The 18,043-nt window shown below is 38.3% G+C and overlaps 1 protein-coding gene across 7 annotated transcripts in view, besides 1 other annotated feature; it reads right to left on the reverse strand.

The window, feature by feature from the left end:
- Positions 1-18,043, reverse strand: part of KCNIP4 (potassium voltage-gated channel interacting protein 4) — a 1,220,167-nt gene that overhangs the window by 519,757 nt on the left and 682,367 nt on the right. The window lies entirely within an intron of this gene.
- Positions 4,651-4,820: an enhancer, noted in NCBI's record as "experimental_77709 CRE fragment used in MPRA reporter constructs". NCBI's record gives its function as "activates a minimal promoter by MPRAs in K562 erythroleukemia cells, with activity observed for the introgressed 4:21254721 variant allele {active_cell/tissue: K562}" and the evidence as "EXISTENCE:reporter gene assay evidence [ECO:0000049][PMID:34662402]".

The following is an 18,043-nucleotide window of genomic DNA, read 5'->3' on the forward strand; positions in this document are numbered from 1 at the left end:
ACAATATATAAAGATCGTCTTTAAAATTATTTGTGTTTAAATTCACACCTTCCCCTTGGGAATCTTCGCACGGATTTGCTAATTGGGTTTCTCTGAATATTCAGTTGTTCACCGCTGACTGACTAGACTTCCCAAAGCCTTGATAACTGGAGAATTTCCAAATGCTGCATTTTTTTCAGCCAGGCAGATGGCATGGTAATGGTAGATGTGAACTTATGTCCTTTTTCCTTTTATAGCAGTGCCTGAGTATCTGACTGACCTACTGGGATTAATTTACTCTTACAATAGGTGATAATAGAGCCCAATTCCAGAAGTGGGGTGCTCAGCAGTTCTTGCTACCATGTACCATTTTCACAGCCTTAATGTGGGACCAGAGCAGTATAAGGGCTTAACATATATTTTCTCCTTTATTCAAACATTACTCCTAAGTACTATTATTGTTCAAATTCAGCTAGAAAACTGAGACTCACAGAGGTTAGTTAAACAACTTTCAAAGTCAAACACCTATTAAATGGTTGAGAGTGACTGAAATCTGGATACCTTAATTTTAAAAGTCAGTGCTTTCGCTGTTGTATCTCCCCATGAGGCCAACCCAAGTGGTCAACCAGTAAAAAATTTGGTAAGTATCATGTGATTTTCTCTACAAAACAGTGAACAATCTAGTGGACAACATTTTTCTTTTCAGTTTAAACTAGAAATTCGTATTTTCTTTAAAGTGTAAGGTAGAAATGACTAGATTTCCTGGTATCTTGTAAAGGAGGCAAAATCAACAGTAAGAAGGGGGCTAATATTTTCAGTCTCTGGGGACCAATTATTACATTGGGTATACTTCCATTATAATAAAGATAGATATACAAACATGCATGCATACATACATACATATAACCATATCAAAAACAGGCTTGGGTAACAGAAAACTAACAGGAAAAAAATCCTATAGTTTGAAAGGGAGGTATCGAAGTTCAAAGTAGCACTCTCTCTTCCGATGCATTAGTGATGGTGTTGGAAATGGCAGTGGGCTGGGGAAGGGTAAAAGCGATGGTATGTATGTATTAAGGTTCTCTTCCTCTAACCTTGGAATCACATTAAGTTTCAAATACTTGTCCCATACCCTGCTAACTCTATGAATTTTGGCAAGCAATAACCATGTCAGGCCTTTTTTTCGTTGATCTTGGTGGAAAGAATAAATGAAATAATGTATATCAAGTGCCTGACAGTGTCCAGCACAGAGTAGGTACCCATAATAATCACTTCTTCTCTTTCCTCCTCCTTTACTGATTCTCTGCTCAGCAGTGGAGGAGTTTCAAAGCATGGGGCATATTAATATGGTAAGATTATTTGAAGATGTTCATTTAGAATATGCACCAGTATTTTCATTTAAATTAGTTCACTCTTCAAATCAGCATGGTGCTCCAAAAGGTAACAATGTTTTGGCGATGAATATGTGCCAGCAACTTGGATTATTTTAAGGCTTGTATAATATTTATCTATGAAAAAATTTTCCCCTTTAAACATTCAATAAGCTCATAGCCATTTGCTTAAGTATTCCATCCAAGCATAAAAGCTTCCCAATGAACGAGAGCACTGTCTTGTGACAAAGCTTATTTCTGTGTATTTTTAATAAGAAAGGGTTCAGAATGGTGATTTCTTGATATCCATTCAGGCTTTGAAAAGAGATCTTATCCAAGCAATACATTTTCTGAAAGTGTAAAGGGAGTGGTAAACTGTTCAGAAAGGGAGGAGGATCTCATTTCTTTCTTTTTTTTTTTCCCCCAGGAAAAAGTTCTCTGCAAAACCACAGGTGGACATAAAAGTATCCAGACAACTACACTCTCGCAGAGATCTTAGGACTGTTAAAAAAAAAAAAAAGGAAATATACATATATATGCACAAAATTGCTGATAACCATAATAAAAATAATGCAGAAATTCTCCAGACTTGGAAAGTTTAAAACATTATGAAACTTCTTCCTTACAGTTACATAGCACAATTATTTGTGTATTCAGCTCTGAAATTTTCGTCTTCACAAATGACAGTGAATATTCTGCTGTAGCAGATGCTTAATCCATTAAATAAGTGGGAGTCACTAAAAAATCCCTGTCTCATGAAGTGGAATCCTACTATTTGGCTGAATTTTCCTCTGGTTTTCCAGGAGGAATACGCAGGATACAAAATTTGATACTGACTTCTTTATGGTATCAAGAGTGACAGTTACATAAAAACATATCTGGTCTTTCTGACTTTTCAAAACTATATTTTTACTTAAATTACAAACAGAAAACAGATTTTCATGTTATTGGCTGGCGATTTTATGGGATGGAGGATTTAACAGAGCTGTGATTTAGAATTAATTGTTTGCTTTTCTAAAAAAAACATAGTCAACAACTACCCTAGGAGATCTGACCCAGTAGGTACTTAAAGCGAGGATGGGAAAGGCTGTATTTTCTTTTTAAATCTTCTCAGAAAAAGTAGCAATATATATCAAACATATGTTAAAATAGTAAAATATATGTAATATAAATATATATTATACTCATATATGTTTCTATATTATATGCATATATTTAAATATACATATACAAATATGTATATATCTACACTGTATCTCAGAAATTATCTACAAATATGTCATTTATCTTGACATGTAAAAGTACACATATACAGAACTGTTCATGACAGCTTTTTTTAAATTATTGAAGAAATAGACTCAATTTGAATGGCCACCAGTGGGGAATGCGTTTAAACGAATTATGATACAGCCATATAATGGAGTGCCATGTAACTAGTAGAAACACAATGTTAGATTTATATAGTTGAAATAGATTAAATAAAAGCTATCCAACAAATCTATCTATATTGTTAGATTATGGTATATTGTAGAGTAAGGCAGAAAATTTTAGGAAAATTATACAGGAGAGGAGATCTTTATTTTCATCTTAATTCCTTCTCTGTGAGCTAAATGCTATTGTTTTCATTTGTATTTGCATGCATTACTTTTTACTTTAACGGATAAAACAAATTAAAAAATGCACACAGCAATCCTGATGTTCAGCCAGTACCGAGAACACTGTGGCCCTCATATCATGTTAAGGTGCTAGAACAAGGTTTAATCACTAGAGTGTTTGTTGCTCCATCAACCTAAAATATTAATACAAATTTTGCCCGGGGTAAAAAAGTATTCATTTCATATTAAGAATGTTTCAAAATATTTTGTTTCAAAACATTTTTGAAACTTAAAATGTTTTGAATCATAAAGCAACCTTGAGTAGGTAGCCTACAGAAAATGTGGCACATATACACCATGGAATACTACGCAGCCATAAAAAATGATAAGTTCAAGTCCTTTGTAGGGACATGGATGAAATTGGAAATCATCATTCTCAGTAAACTATCACAAGAACAAAAAACCAAACACCGCATATTCTCACTCATAGGTGGGAATTGAACAATGAGAACACATGGACACAGGAAGGGGAACATCACACTCTAGGGACTGTGGTGGGGTGTGGGGAGGGGGGAGGGATAGCATTAGGAGTATACCTAATGCTAAATGACGAGTTAATGGGTGCAGCACACCAGCATGGCACATGTATACACATGTAACTAACCTGCACATTGTGCACATGTACCCTAAAACTTAAAGTATAATAATAATAATAATAAAAGAAATATAATGGGAAAAAAAACATAACTGAGATGTTTTGATGTTTTAAGTAACTACCTGAGGTATGTTTAAGCAACATTTAAGTAACATGAATGAGGTTTTGTTTTTTTTTTTTTTTTTGAGACAGAGTCTCGCTCTGTTGCCAGGCTGGAGTGCAGTGGCGCAATCTCGGCTCACTGCAATCTCCGCCTCCCGAGTTCAAGCGATTCTTCTGCCTCAGCCTCCCGAGTAGCCAGGATTACAGGCGGGCACCTCCACACCCTGCTAACTTTTGTATTTTTAGTAGAGACAGCGTTTCACCACGTTGGCCAGGATGGTCTCGATCTCCTAACCTCGTGATCCGCCCGCCTCGGCCTCCCAAAGTACTGGGATTACAGGTGTGAGCCCCTTCCCTCGCCCGGCCAAGGTATGTTTTAAGTAGACTACCTGCTTGAGGTAGATTTATGATACATACCCATTATCGTGACAATGAAATAAAATGAAATGTGATGAGAAAGTGAACCATTCCACACCATCACCTAAGCAGGGCAGCACACGAAGACCTGATGTAACGCTGACAATGTTAACACCCCTGTGTGATGTCCAACTAAAAATAATAAAAAAAGAAGGTGAAAAATTTCCCCATGCTGTCAATCAATAATGATGTCATCATGACCCTGATAGAAAACTCAGTCCAGGAGGTTGATGGTACTAAATTAGAAATATCCATCTTTCCCTTTGGCAAATCCTCTTTTTTTTTTTTTTTTTTGTCGTAAGTATTACATGCTAACCTTGTAATGAGAGGGCAGAGAGGTAATGGGGACCAACAGCAAGGACCCTCTGGAAGCCTAGAGCCTTGGGTCCCATCCTAAAAGATAAGCACTGAGCACATCACACTTAACCTCTCAGCATTTCAACTTTCCTATCATCTATGAGATGAGAATAATACTTGCTATCTACCCCATAAAGGGGTTGAAAGGGATGCTGAGAAAGTCCATGGAAAGCACTTTGAACTTCTCAGAAGTAAGATTTTACAGAAGTACAAAGCCTCACATCAAAAGACACACTCATACCTTTCTGTGACATCAATGAGTGTTTCATAGATAGGATTATGCATAGGTCTGACGCTGAATGTGCTTTATCATTAAAATAATTTCTACGGCAATTTCTTTTCTTTTTACCTGGACATATGAATGCATATGCAGCCTTGACAAATCTTATACTCCTTCTCAGATCACTGTGAGGGGTCTCTGAGGCTCATTTTTGGCTCACCAAGCTGTGTTATTTAGCCAACAGGTATAAAATGTGGTACCCCCTACTTCTATCTTTAGGCATTGCTAGAAAGTAATCTTCTGGAGAAAGAAAAGTAGAATAAATTTCAGTAGGTTATTGATGACATCATGTGTTATGGCCATATTTGACACAGAACAGAACTAATTCATTCAAACTCCTTGTTAGCACCAACCTCTTCTGAAATTACAGCTGTTTCTACTGCTATCTAGTCTACATTATTAAGTACCACCTGTGCACTCAGCCCTATAGAGGAATGTTCCATCAGTCTTGGAAAAGGAATTTGTCTGCTAGATAGTGTTAAAATTACATAGCCATTCAAATCTTTCTTCGATACCTTGAAAATAGATTCTTAATACTGGCTATGTATTAAAATCACCTGAGTCCACTGGAGAGGAGCTAAATCATAATCTCTGTGGCTGCTTCTGCCACACAGAGATGTTTTATGAGATTCCACATGTGCATGTTAATAGCAGCACTACTCATAATAGCCAAGTAGTGGAAACAGCCAAATGTCCATTTGCAGATAAATGAATAAACCAGCTAGATATGTGGGATGTTATTCAGATGTAAACAAATAAATGGATTACTGATATGCTACAACATGGATGGACCTCAAAAACATCACACTAAGTGGGAAAAAAAGACACAAAAGGTCACAGGTTGTGCAATTCCATTTATATGAAATATCCAGAATAGGTAAGTGTGTAGACACAGAATTCAGATTTGTGATTGCCAGGGGTAAGGGAGAGGTGAGAAACGAAGAACAACTGCTTAATGAGTATAGATTATCCCTTTGGTATGATAAGAATATTTTGGAACTAGATTGAAAATGTTGATGCATGACATTGTAAATGTATATATATGCATACATGCATACATTCAGACATAGATTTCCAGGTGTTTACAAAGCAATCTGTGCTAAGAGTCATGGTCTAGAGTTTCAAACATGGTTGTTGCACCAGTACCATTGCAACTGTACAGTGCTGGCCCAGTACTATGCATTGCCTTCAATCACCAGTGCATTTCTTAATGCTTTTCTTGGTGTGACATAGGGAGCATCACCTGAAGTACTGAGCATCTTATATGAGCATCACCTGGAGTATTTGCTTGTGATGAATGCATATTCCCAGTCTTCACTGCAGACCTACAGACTCATAATCTCATAGGAGTAATAGGGCACGGTTATGCATTTAAAATCATTCCTCCAAGTTATTCTTATGCATTTCATTTTTATTTTTAATTGACAAATAAAAATGCACTACATTTTAAAACTTGAAGGCCCTACTTTGGACTTTGCCTTACTCTTCCCTATTTATCATTTTTTGAGCTTTATTCATGACCTACCTCCACTGCTTAATGCTGAGTATCCATTATCTCTTTTAAGCTTCACAAATGACAGCAGTCTTCATTTATAGGAGAGAAAATTAAGGCTGAGAAGAGGAAAATGAGTTGCCCCCAAGAGTTCACATTTAGAAACTGGAAAAACCTGTAACCAAACTTTGGTTTTTCTCAGAAAACTTTAAACCCTTTACTCTTTCACACCTTATCCCTTCCAAGGACCAGTTCCTGGTCTCTCATTGTCCCATTGTCGCTATCTTCTAATATTTCCCTGTAATCATCGCAGTCACCAGATAATCACTGCCACCCGTCCCCAGACTCATCAACTGATGAACCACTATTTTCAATCATCTTTTCTTGAAATTTCCAGGGCTATTTGACTTCAGGTAAAGTTGACCGTCTCCACTTTAACCTGTTGAGACCAAGTCAGTCTTGAATGAGCTCCTCTACCCCCACCCTGGCTGTTGCATTTAATCTTTGCACCTCCCTCTGCCCATTTTGCCCAACTATAGAGGGAGACGAGGCCCTACCTGTGTCCCATCCCTTCTCACTACCTGAGCACCCTTCCTCCCAAGCTCATGCCCCCATCCTTGACTCTCTCCCTCTCCATGAGGTCTAATATGACCTTTGATTAAACATGCTTAAATTGTACCCCACTTCCAAGTAATAACAGCTAAGTTTAAAAGCCGTGTTGCTTCTTCTTTCTTAAATATTATCTTATACCTATCCTTTGTATTTTTTCATCACCAGTTTTTTTCTTATCTCCCCTCTCCTCCCAATGCTGCTCTCCTTAAAGTTATCAAAAATCCATCTTCAGGCCAAATCCATTTGTCAATGTTCAGTTCCTCCTCAACACCTGCTTCATCTGACATTTAATCTCCTTAAACTCTCCCCTCCCTCAGCCTCAGCCTCTGGGTGATCAGTCTTTGTTTTCTTTTTCTTTTTATTTGTCTCTTCTCCAGTAAGTCCCTTAAACTTTTCTGACCCTTAGTATCTTTACCTTTAAAATAGAAAAAAAAAAAAACTAATTCAGGATGTTGTTATAGAGGCTCAACCAGGCAAAACCTACTTTGTGTATGTGCTCATTGAACAGACATTTGTTGCACATCTCTTGTATGCACAGTACTGAGTTAAACACTGGGGTATAAAGATGACATTGACGCGGTCCCCAATGTTGAAGAACTGTAAATTGACTTGAAGAAACATGTTGACAATAACCCGGATGCTTTATTCATTCATTTATTAATTCAATTAATTTTGATCAAGTGCCTATAATATGTCAAGCAGTTATCCAGGCACTGAAGATAAAACAGTGAACCAGTCTGAATAAATCACTGCCCTTGTGTAGCTTACATTTTAGTGACAAGAACCACATAGCAGGCTAGATAACATCAGGGAACATAAATGCTAGCAAGGTAAAAAAAAAAATTAGGATAATAAAATACAGAGTTGTAGCAGTGAGATGTGCTAGAAGTGGGGTAAGAAACTACTTCTATGTGGAAATGACGTTAGTCCAAGTCCTAAATGATGACAAGAAGAATCAGATATTGAGAAAGTGTGCTATATGAGGAGGACACTGCAAGTACAAATTTCCTGGGGTTAAAATGAACTTAGCATATCAAACGGGCAGAAAGGAAGCCAAAGGAGCTTTCTGAACAGTGAAGAGAAAAGTGGCTCATGCCTGTAATATCAGCATTTGGGGAGGCCCACATTCCGGGATGATGGCTTGAGCCAGGAGTTTGAGTCCAGCCTGGGCAACATAATGAGATCCCATCCCTGCTTAAAAAAAAAAAAAAAAAAGGACAAAGACAAAGAAAAAGGCAGGCATGGTGCACACCTGTAGTTCCAGCTACTGGGGAGGCTGAGGTGGGAGGATTGCTGGAGTCCAGGAGCTTAAGCTAGCAGTGAGCTATGATTATGCCATTGCACTTCAGCCTGGGTGACAGAGTAAGACAGTCTCAAGAAAAGAAAAAAAAGAGAGATAAGTAAGAGAATTTGGAGAGGTTTTGGATACCATGCTAATTAAGGAGTCTAGATTTAATTTTAATGCGAAGGAAAGCCACTGGGAGGTTTTAGGTAGGAGAATGTGGTAATCCAACAAATGCTTTAAAGATTATCTGAAAGCTGCATGGATAATTGATTGTGCTTTGGGAGCAGCAGAAACAGGATGACTACTTATGTCCACCTTAGTAGCTCAGGCAAGAGATGATGGCTGAGATTGGGCTGATGGCTGTGGAAATGGTGTGAAATGCTCAAATTTTGGTTGCTGAATGTGCTTTCTAAGGTCTCTCTATATGCGTACTTGTTGTTTTCCATTTTACCTATCAGAATTTATATTTTTTGAGCACTAGGACTTTGCTTTGGTCATTTTTCCATGCCACAATCGCTAGAACAGTGCCTGACACACAGTAGGTGCTAAATAAATAAACATTTGTTGAATTAAAGAATGAATAGCTTGCATGTGGATGCTGAGATAAACTCTTAAATTTGGTGCTTGAGCACTTTCATTGACAGTGTGTCATCAACTGAGATGGGAAAGACTAAAAAAGGCACAAGTTTGTGAATAAAAAGCAAGAGTTCCACTTTTGGCATGTTCGATTTGAGACGTCTCTTGAGAGCAGACACTTCTATACACATGTCTGGAGCTCAGGGCCTGATATTTTTTTCATTCATTCATGTTTTGTTTCCCTATTTGCTGTGAAAGCTTGGCAAGACCAGGGTCTCCTTAAGTGTACCCCCCAGACAAGTGATATCAACATAACCTGCAACTTGTTAGAGATGCAATGTTTTGGGCTCCACCTCAGACCAACTGTATCAGAAACTCTAGGCTGCGGGGCGTGGTGGCTCACACCTGTAATCCCGGCACTTTGGGAGGCTGAGGCAAGTGGATCACCTGAGGTCAGGAGTTTGAGGCCAGCCTGACAAATATGGTGAAACCCTGTCCTCTACTAAAAAATACAAAAATTAGCTGGGTATGGTGGCATGCGACTGTAGTCCCAGCTACTCGGGAGGCTGAGACAGAAGAATTGCTTGAACCCAGGAGGCGGAGGTTGCAGTGAGCCGAGATCATGCCATTGTACTCTAGCCTGGGTGACACAGCAAGACTCAGTCTCAAAAAAAAAAAAAAAAGAAAGAAAGAAAAAGAAACACCAGGAGATGAGTTCAGCATTCTGCATTTAACCAGACCTGTTCATGACTCTGATGTGCATCAAGGTTTAGGAACCACTGGTCTAAAACACTGCCAGACATAGCCATAAGAAAGAGCTGAACATGATTTGGGGCAGCTATGCAAAGTAGCAAGCCGTTCTGATTGTTTTTTCTTGCCTCTCATCAAATCTCTCTTTATCATTTGAACTTTCTTAGCTGCTTTACTTTGTCCTTAGAATCAAATATTTTCTCTTCTTTTAAATTATGTAACTATGGTTAACAGCAGAACTTTAAAAAAAATTAGCCTTTCCAAACACTTTCTCATCTGTCACTTAATTTTAGCTTCTGAGAGCTATGAAACAGTAGGGATGGGAATTCTAGCCCCACTTCACATACAAATATATGTAGGCAAAATCCCATTAGGTGATTTATTGATGATCACATAAATTTAGGTAGATTTGAGACATAAAAAACATTGACCTCAAGCTTTACTCTTAACACTGATACTACCGAGTAAACAGTAGGTGCTCAATACATATTTAATGACTAAGTGAATGATTCCTCAAATAGATGCTGCAGGATTCAAGAAAATGCAAATTTACTTTATCATGTATGTACGCGTGGAAACCAGAATACTACGTGACCCCGACCTTTTCTTTAATTGGACACCCACTTCCAAGCTCTACCCATATTATCCAGCAATATGGGAATTTTATGAGGGAGGCAGATTATAACCTAAAGTTATGAATAATCAGTTTCTTATATCTTTAAGACAATAATTGATATAGTGTGCTCTAATTCTTAATGTGGCTACACTTCTCATTCTGTCAATTACTTGTGCATTTGAAAACAGAGGTCAGTGTTCCATGTCCTGACCTCTGTTTTGAATTACTTGAAGAAGGCAAAAAACTGGTGATGCTGAGACTGATTCTTGCCAATGTTATCTGTCTCTCTTTATTTTAAAACTTAAATCGCTTCCCTACCCCTACTGGAATGCTTTTAGCCTATCGTACCCATGATAATAATGAAACATTCCTACATTTGCATAAAGCTGTCTCATTTAGCTTAGCTTAGACACAGATTTTAAAAAACCCAGTAGACATTGAAACATAGCTAGAATACGGAAACATTAATGATGTCAATAATAATAATAATAGAAAACATTTTTTGAATGTTCACTATGTTCCAACCACTGGGATGCTGGATGTGGATGGTAACATTTACCCGGGATGTGAAGGACTTACTATTTTTCGTATTTCACAGATGGTCAAGCTATAGCTCAGAGAGTTTAAATACTTTTCACGTCATACTGATAGTTCATAGTGAAGCTGTGATTTGAATCCAGGACTGTCAGACTCCAAAACCCATGGCATTCACCACTTTTCCACTTCAAGACTGTCAGCCTCCAAAATTTATGGTATGAACTACTTTCCCACTCCTACCTCATTAAAACAATTAGCATTACATCCGTGAATGCCTGTCATCTGTGTTAACAACTCAGGCAATGAGAAGACTGGCCTAGTTCATGTGGTCAAATACAGTGGGTCTATTTTAATTATACTCATGCTCCATTGGGTCACATGGACATAAATACATCTGGTTAGAGTTTTTTTGTTTATGCCTTCAATTACCTGGTTTAAAGCCTAGTCACAAACATGCTCCAGCTCTTTCATTATGGTGGTTGGCCATCTCAAGTTTTTACACCATTTAATCCTACCTCCAATCTTTGTTTTTCACCAGCTTCTCCAGTCCCTTTCTGCCATTGGCTACTGGTTGTATGCTGGAACTCTTGTTATTACAGAAAAAAACACATTTTCAGCTTCTATTGCATAGCAGGCCTATTTTGAGCATGATGGATACAGCAATGAAGAAAAGCATTACCTTTTCTAAAGTGCCTTACGGTCAGGTGGGGACGAGAGACATGTAAACAAATAAGGCATTCAGTTTTTCCATATTTTAGCCTCAGCTCTTTGCAACTTGTCTTGGCTGTCACCCTGGGTGTCAGCTGCGCAGGTTCTTTCCAACAAAAGAAACTCCTGCTTCTCCTTCTATCAAAGGGAACACTATCCTGCTGATTGAAAGTTTGGCAAAGCGCCCAAGACTGTGTGTGTGTGTGTGTGTGTGTGTGTGTGTGTGTGCACGTGCGCTTATGTGCATTGTGCAATGTCTAAACACTCAAACAGGATATTTGGAACAGAACTGTGTGATTGTTTCTTATCAGACCTCTTTATAAGTGACCAATTTAAAGCTGAAGATGCATTAAAACACAGGCTTCAGGTGATCATCTGTAATTTAAACGGAGAAGGTGAGATGGTCAGGAATTTAGTTCTGAGAGTTTTGACCTTATCATCAATAGAAATGAGCGTTTATGGTCTTTCTATTTAGGAAAGAGTCTCTGGCTTTAAGCGGCTATGCCTTACTGTGCTTTCATAAAAGGTCAATTTGAAACATTCTGGGCTTTTAATGTACCAATGAATTACGGGCAAAAGCCTTTATCCTAAAACTATTAGATAAAAATTATATCTTTAGTTTTGGGATAATATGAAGAGGCAAAGCCTTCTTCAGGGGACTATACATAGCTATTTATAAGTATTCGTGATTGCTGTATTGCACAGTACTGTTAATTTAAGGCAAACATTTTTGCGTTGTTTAGGATTTTTGAATGACATGCCCATGACGTAGTTTGCGAGAAAGGGAAAACACTTGGATGTAGGGCTTGAGATGAACTTCGGACTCTTCCAGCGGCCAAGTGTAAATGTTAGGCCACATGAGCATAAACACATCTGGCTGGAACTTTTCTTAATGCCTTCAATTACCTGGCTTTAAGACTAGTCACAAACATGCACCAGTTCTGATGTCCATAGTAGACAGAGCTTATCTACTAGGGTACATTATTTTGCTGAATCCAGAGATAGTCTCAGAATCCTTCTCAGCACAGTGCTTCAGACATTCACTGATGATGTAGGTAAGTGGGCCCATGAGATGGAATATTTTTGTCATTCCAACTATAATTCAAACTCTTTTCGTTTACAGAGGACAAGACTGATATTCCTAATGGTGATGTGACTTATTTAAGATCAAACAGATAAGCAGTCAAGTTGTCACTACAGCCAAGGATACACACTGCTTCTACTTCTTGGCCCAAGTGCTTTGAAAAAGGGAATCATTTTAGGCAAGGAGACGTTTTCTGACTGAGTTGTCAGCTCTTCTTTTCAGCTAAACATTTATATTAAGAGATTTCCATTGGCAGAGCCCCTTCTCACCCCCATGATGATCCTAGAATTTAACAGCCGGTTTTGGAGTTCACTGTGTCTAATATTGTCTGCTCTTATTTTTGCAGAGGCTATTCTATTTCCATAGAAGGCTTGATTATAAAATCACACAGTATAGAAAATAGTTGTGTAAAAAACCTTCAACAGAAACACTGAAGGGACTCTGGCTTTAAATCAATGCTTGGCTTTAAATAGGGAAGCAAATATCATTGCGTAAAAAAGATAACTAAAATATGACTCATTGCTGGGAGAAAAGGGGATACTTTTGAGAAAAGATTTCTTTAAGATTATGTCTTACAGAGCTGCTTACACATCATACAGAGTATTAGAATGGTTTCATTACTACAAGTTAAGAGTCAGATTAGAATAATCATTAAAAGGGAATTCCCTGTATTAAAACCACCACCTTCCACTGAATCAATTACACTCCTGTGTCATGAACATCACCAAGAATCCTAGATTCAACACAGCATTGAAAGCTGGCATGAAGATTATTTATTAACCTTAGCATTATCCCAATTTGACTTGTCTTACTAATTTTTGTTTCATCCAGTCTCACTAATGGTCACCCCATTCTCCCAGTCACTATACCCAGAAACCCAAATATTATGTTCGACTTCTTTCATTCTCTCCCTCATACACCTAATCTATTAAGTCCTATTGGCTCTACGTCTACAATACAAGCTAGTGCCATCAACCTCTTCCCATCTTCATTATTCCCCCACCCTAGTTAATGCTACTGTCACTTCTCCCCAGACTATAAAATAAATTACAGAATGACAGCCCTGCTTCTCCTCTTTCCTTCCACTCCAATTTACACTTCTCATGGTGGTTAGACTGATTTTCCTACAACCTGAATCAGATAATGTCACTCCAATGCCTGAAATTTTCAAATAGCAACTGACTGCAATCTGAATCAATACAAACTCCTTTAGATAGCTTACAAATTTCTGGACCCTGCACATTTCCCCAGTCTTATCTCATAATGTTCTTCTGTTCACTCACCATGCTCCCAACAGATACATCCTTTCAATATTTTAAACGCATGCTCTTTCCTATCGCAATGACTTCCCATAAACAGTTCCTTTTTATTTATTTTTTTTGAAAACCTTTTTCCCCTTTCTACACAAGAGTGGATCCTGCTCATCTTTCAGGTCTTGGTTTTGATGTCATCTCATCAGATACCACCCCTCCACACCCCATAGCAGATGCTTTCAATACTCTGCTCATATCACCTTGGGTTGCCCTCTTATCTTCCTGAACATGAATATTCACTCCCAACTGCCAGCATCTGTGTCTCTTTGTTGGAGGATGACCTTCAGGCTTCCAGAATGCCTTTGACTGTACATGGAGAGCCTGAAGTGGCTGTGGATTTGTATCCCGCTTCACCCCAGAGTGCAGCCTTAGCCAATGACTGATGGATGAGGAGTATAAATGCTCCAGCTTCCTGGCTTCATGATGGATTTAGCTCTGCAATTGAAATGTACTTCCCTTACATCTTCCCTGCAGGATTGAGCCAGTTATCCTCTGAGGATCTTTGCTTGATATTGTGTTCTTATTTATTCTCCTTCCCTTTCTGGACCTATTTTTTACTTCCCTACCACTTCTCTGGGAGCAATTTCTAATAAATCACATTGACACAAAATCTCATCTCAGGATCTGCTTCTGCAAAAGCACGCTAAGAGACAACTCCAACTTTTACTCAATTACTCTCCATCAGTGAATCCCATTTATTTTATTCCAAGCATTTATCAAAAACTGTTGTTATATATTGAATTTCTTGTTCACTTGTCTATATCTCTCATTCAACTGTGAACAAACTGAGGACATGGACTGTATCCTTTTAAAACTAGTATACCTCCAGCACCTAGCACACTGTTTGGACATAGTAGTTGCCTAACTAATGTTTATTTTTAAGAGTGAATGAATAAATAACAAAATCCTTCCTGGTCCCCCTGTTCATCCAGGCTGAATTCCTTCTTCCTGCTCTGGTTTCCATGATGTCCATCAAGTAGCTTCTGATCAGAATTCAGGTTTTCATGGAGCTTGACTATAAGGGTAGCATATCTTGGTCACACTGACATGAGTAATTGGTCCATATGATAATTCTCCTTGTTGTAATATGCCGTTCTCCTTTGAGAATACACTATATGCCAGGCAGCACTAAGGTAGAGACACAATATTTTATTAAATCCTAGCAAACAGCTTTGTGAGGAAGATACATTACCTTTGTTTTTCAGAAGAGAAAACTAATATTCAGAGCTAAGGAATGTGCCCAAGGTCATCCAAATGGTTAGTGGCGAAGGCTGTATTAGAATCCAAGAGTGACTGCAAACCCGTGTTCTTAACCTTCATCATGCCACCTCTGTTCTATGTGAAGTTTACTTAGCTTCTTGAGCCATTCTCTTGGGAATAATTAAGTTAAAAGACTAAGCTTCTGGGCCTTCAAAGTAGAGGGCCAAATCCTAGAATGTTATGACTTATTTGAGCCACTACTCAGCTCCAGCTGGCCTTGACCTTCAAATCGGCACCACCACTTTCTGTTCCTGCCAGAGCCGGTGCTCTAAGACAACTTGTATAACTCTAAATGTATAGCCAACTTTCTGTTTAATTTTTTAATTTTATTTTTTGCGACAGGGTCTCACTGTGTCATGCAGGCTAGAGTGATCGTAGCTCACTATGGACTCCAACTCCTGGCTCAAGTGATCCTCACCCTCAGCCCCCTGAGCTTCTGGGACTAGAGGCATGCACCACCATGCCTGACTAATTAAATTTTTTTTCTTTTTTTGGTAGAGATGAGATTTCACTGTGTTTTCCAAGCTGGTCTGGAATTCCTGGCCTTAAGCACCTTAGACTCCCAAAGTGCTGGGATTACAGGTGTGAGCCACCATGCCCAGCCCAATATATATATACGTGTGTGTGTGTGTGTGTGTGTGTATCCTTATCTGTGGTAGACATTGGCTATATAGCCATCCAAATCGTTAGTGGTGAAGGCTCTATTGAATCCAAGTCTGACTGCAAAGCTCATGTTCTTAAACCTCATCATGCAGCCTCTGTCCTATGTGAAGTTTGCTTAGCAAACTCTACACATCCCAATTTCTACCACAGAGAATGGAGGCTAAAGAGTTGTTCTGATATTCAGCAATCTACAAATAAATTTTCAGCTGATGGTCAAAAGAGACAACAGTCTGGAAAACATGAAAAGCCAAAGGAATGACTTAGGAATAGAAATAATTCACTAATTTATTCAATTAATGATATTTATCCAACATCTAGATATGCCAAGTATGCACTTGATACAAGAAAGACAAAGCAAAATGAGAATCAGAAAGGGTCCTTACAACACTGGCATGGAGATGATTAGCATGGTGGTTAGGAACGTGATGTAGAGGCTGAGAGTTCATGTTTAGACAACTCACTGCTGAACTGGAATGCAGGCTCTGTCTCTTCCTTACTGGCTGTGTTATTTAATCTGTGCCACATTTATTCCTGTGTAAAATGAGGATGAAAATACTACACCCACCATGCTCATCAAGGTGTCCTAAAGATTAAATGACTTAATGTTTATAAAGTTTTTGGAGCAGTCTCTGACACATATGATAGCCATGTAAGTTTGTTCAATAAACAAAGCAGAGATTGGAGCTAAAATAAAATAAATGAAAGATATTATGGGGATGCAGAAAAGAGAAACTTAGCCTGGCGAGAAGGTGCAAAAACCAGAAAAGGATCACAAAGATGTAACATTTAAAGCGGGTCTTAAGGCCAGGCACAGTGGCTCACACCTGTAATCCCAGCAGTTTGGGAGGCTGAGGCAGGTAGATCACTTTAGGTCAGGTGTTCGAGACCAGCCTGGCCAACATGGTGAAACTCCCATCTCTACTAAAAATAAAACACTTAGCCAGGCGTGGTGACTTGCGCCTGTGATCCCGGCAACTCGGGAGGCTGAGGCACAAGAATTGCTTGAATCCAAAAGGTGAACATTGCAGTGAGCCGAGATCATACCACTGCATTCCAGCCTGAGTGACAGAGCGAGACTCTGCCTCAAATAATAATAATAATAATAATAACAACAATAATAATAACGTGAGTCCTAAAAGATGGTTTGGAATTCACCAATGAAAGAAGTGAGAGGAAAAAAAAGAGGGAGACAGGCCCCAGCACCAGCACAGGCAAAAGCAGGCAGGAGGGAAGCTACTGGTTGTTTACCTGAATGTGTTTGCATAAGAAGTGAGAGGATGGGGAGTGATGAGATATTAGGTTATTGCTTAAAAGGAATTAGGACATTAAGGGCCTTGGGAAGCAATAAAGAAGTTTGACTTCATGTTATCTAGAAGTAACTTTAAGAAAATTTTAAGTAAAAATAATTTCACGATCGGAGTTACAAACTACAAAGTCCACTCTGGCCACAGTATGGAAGATGGCTTTTGTTGAGTGAAGTCATCCACTTACCGAGTTGCCAGATTAAGCCAGGTAAGAATGACAGGAGCCTTAAATAATGAACTATCACTGGAAAGTATATTTATAGGAAATAATAGCAACAGACAAGCCAATTTTGTTTTCAATGGTCAAATTAGCAGTAGTTCATTTTGAATAAAGTTATTGACCTCTGAGGCAAAGAGATAGAATCATAATGGAAAATAAGTTCCACAATCAGAAGTCAGCACTCCAAATTAAAAGCCAGTCTTCACCTATTTGATGGGTGGAAGGACACTTAAACAATCACTGTTTGTTTCTGACTTTTGAACACATCAAAGAAAGCATCAATTTTTATGTTACCTGAGACACTGAAGAAACAATTACATATTTAAAAGGGCTAAGGAACTTTGCAAAGTGTCTATAAACAAGGTAATTATTCAGAATTAATTCAGTAAGACCATAATAATGATTGTTACAATTTCTTGAGCACTTGCTCATTTCCATTGTGCTAGCAATTTACATATATTATCTCATTTATATTATTATCTCACAATAATTCAATAAGGTAGGTACTATCAGTCCCATTTAACAGATGAAAAATGGGGGTTTAAAGAGATTTAGATACTCACTTAAATGTCAAGAGGTAGAGCAGAAAACCCAAGTCTTTCCACATGTACAGAGCCCACACTGATAACATCTGTGGTATCAGTTCTCACTGTGAATTTATTTGAACTCAGACATTCTTTTTAAGGAAATAAAAATGCAACTTTACGAAGCGTACAATGGAGAGTAAAGAGGATGCTTTTCCTATTATAGTCATTTTTGCACAAATTATCCTTCTCACTTTTCATATACTAATGATGTTTTCACTGAGGCTGAGCATTTGACTAAAGTAACAAATTATTCCTTAAAAACAAAATGCCAAGGAAACAAA

This window comes from Homo sapiens, chromosome 4, assembly GCF_000001405.40.
Source record: "Homo sapiens chromosome 4, GRCh38.p14 Primary Assembly".
NCBI classification, from domain to species: domain Eukaryota; kingdom Metazoa; phylum Chordata; class Mammalia; order Primates; family Hominidae; genus Homo; species Homo sapiens.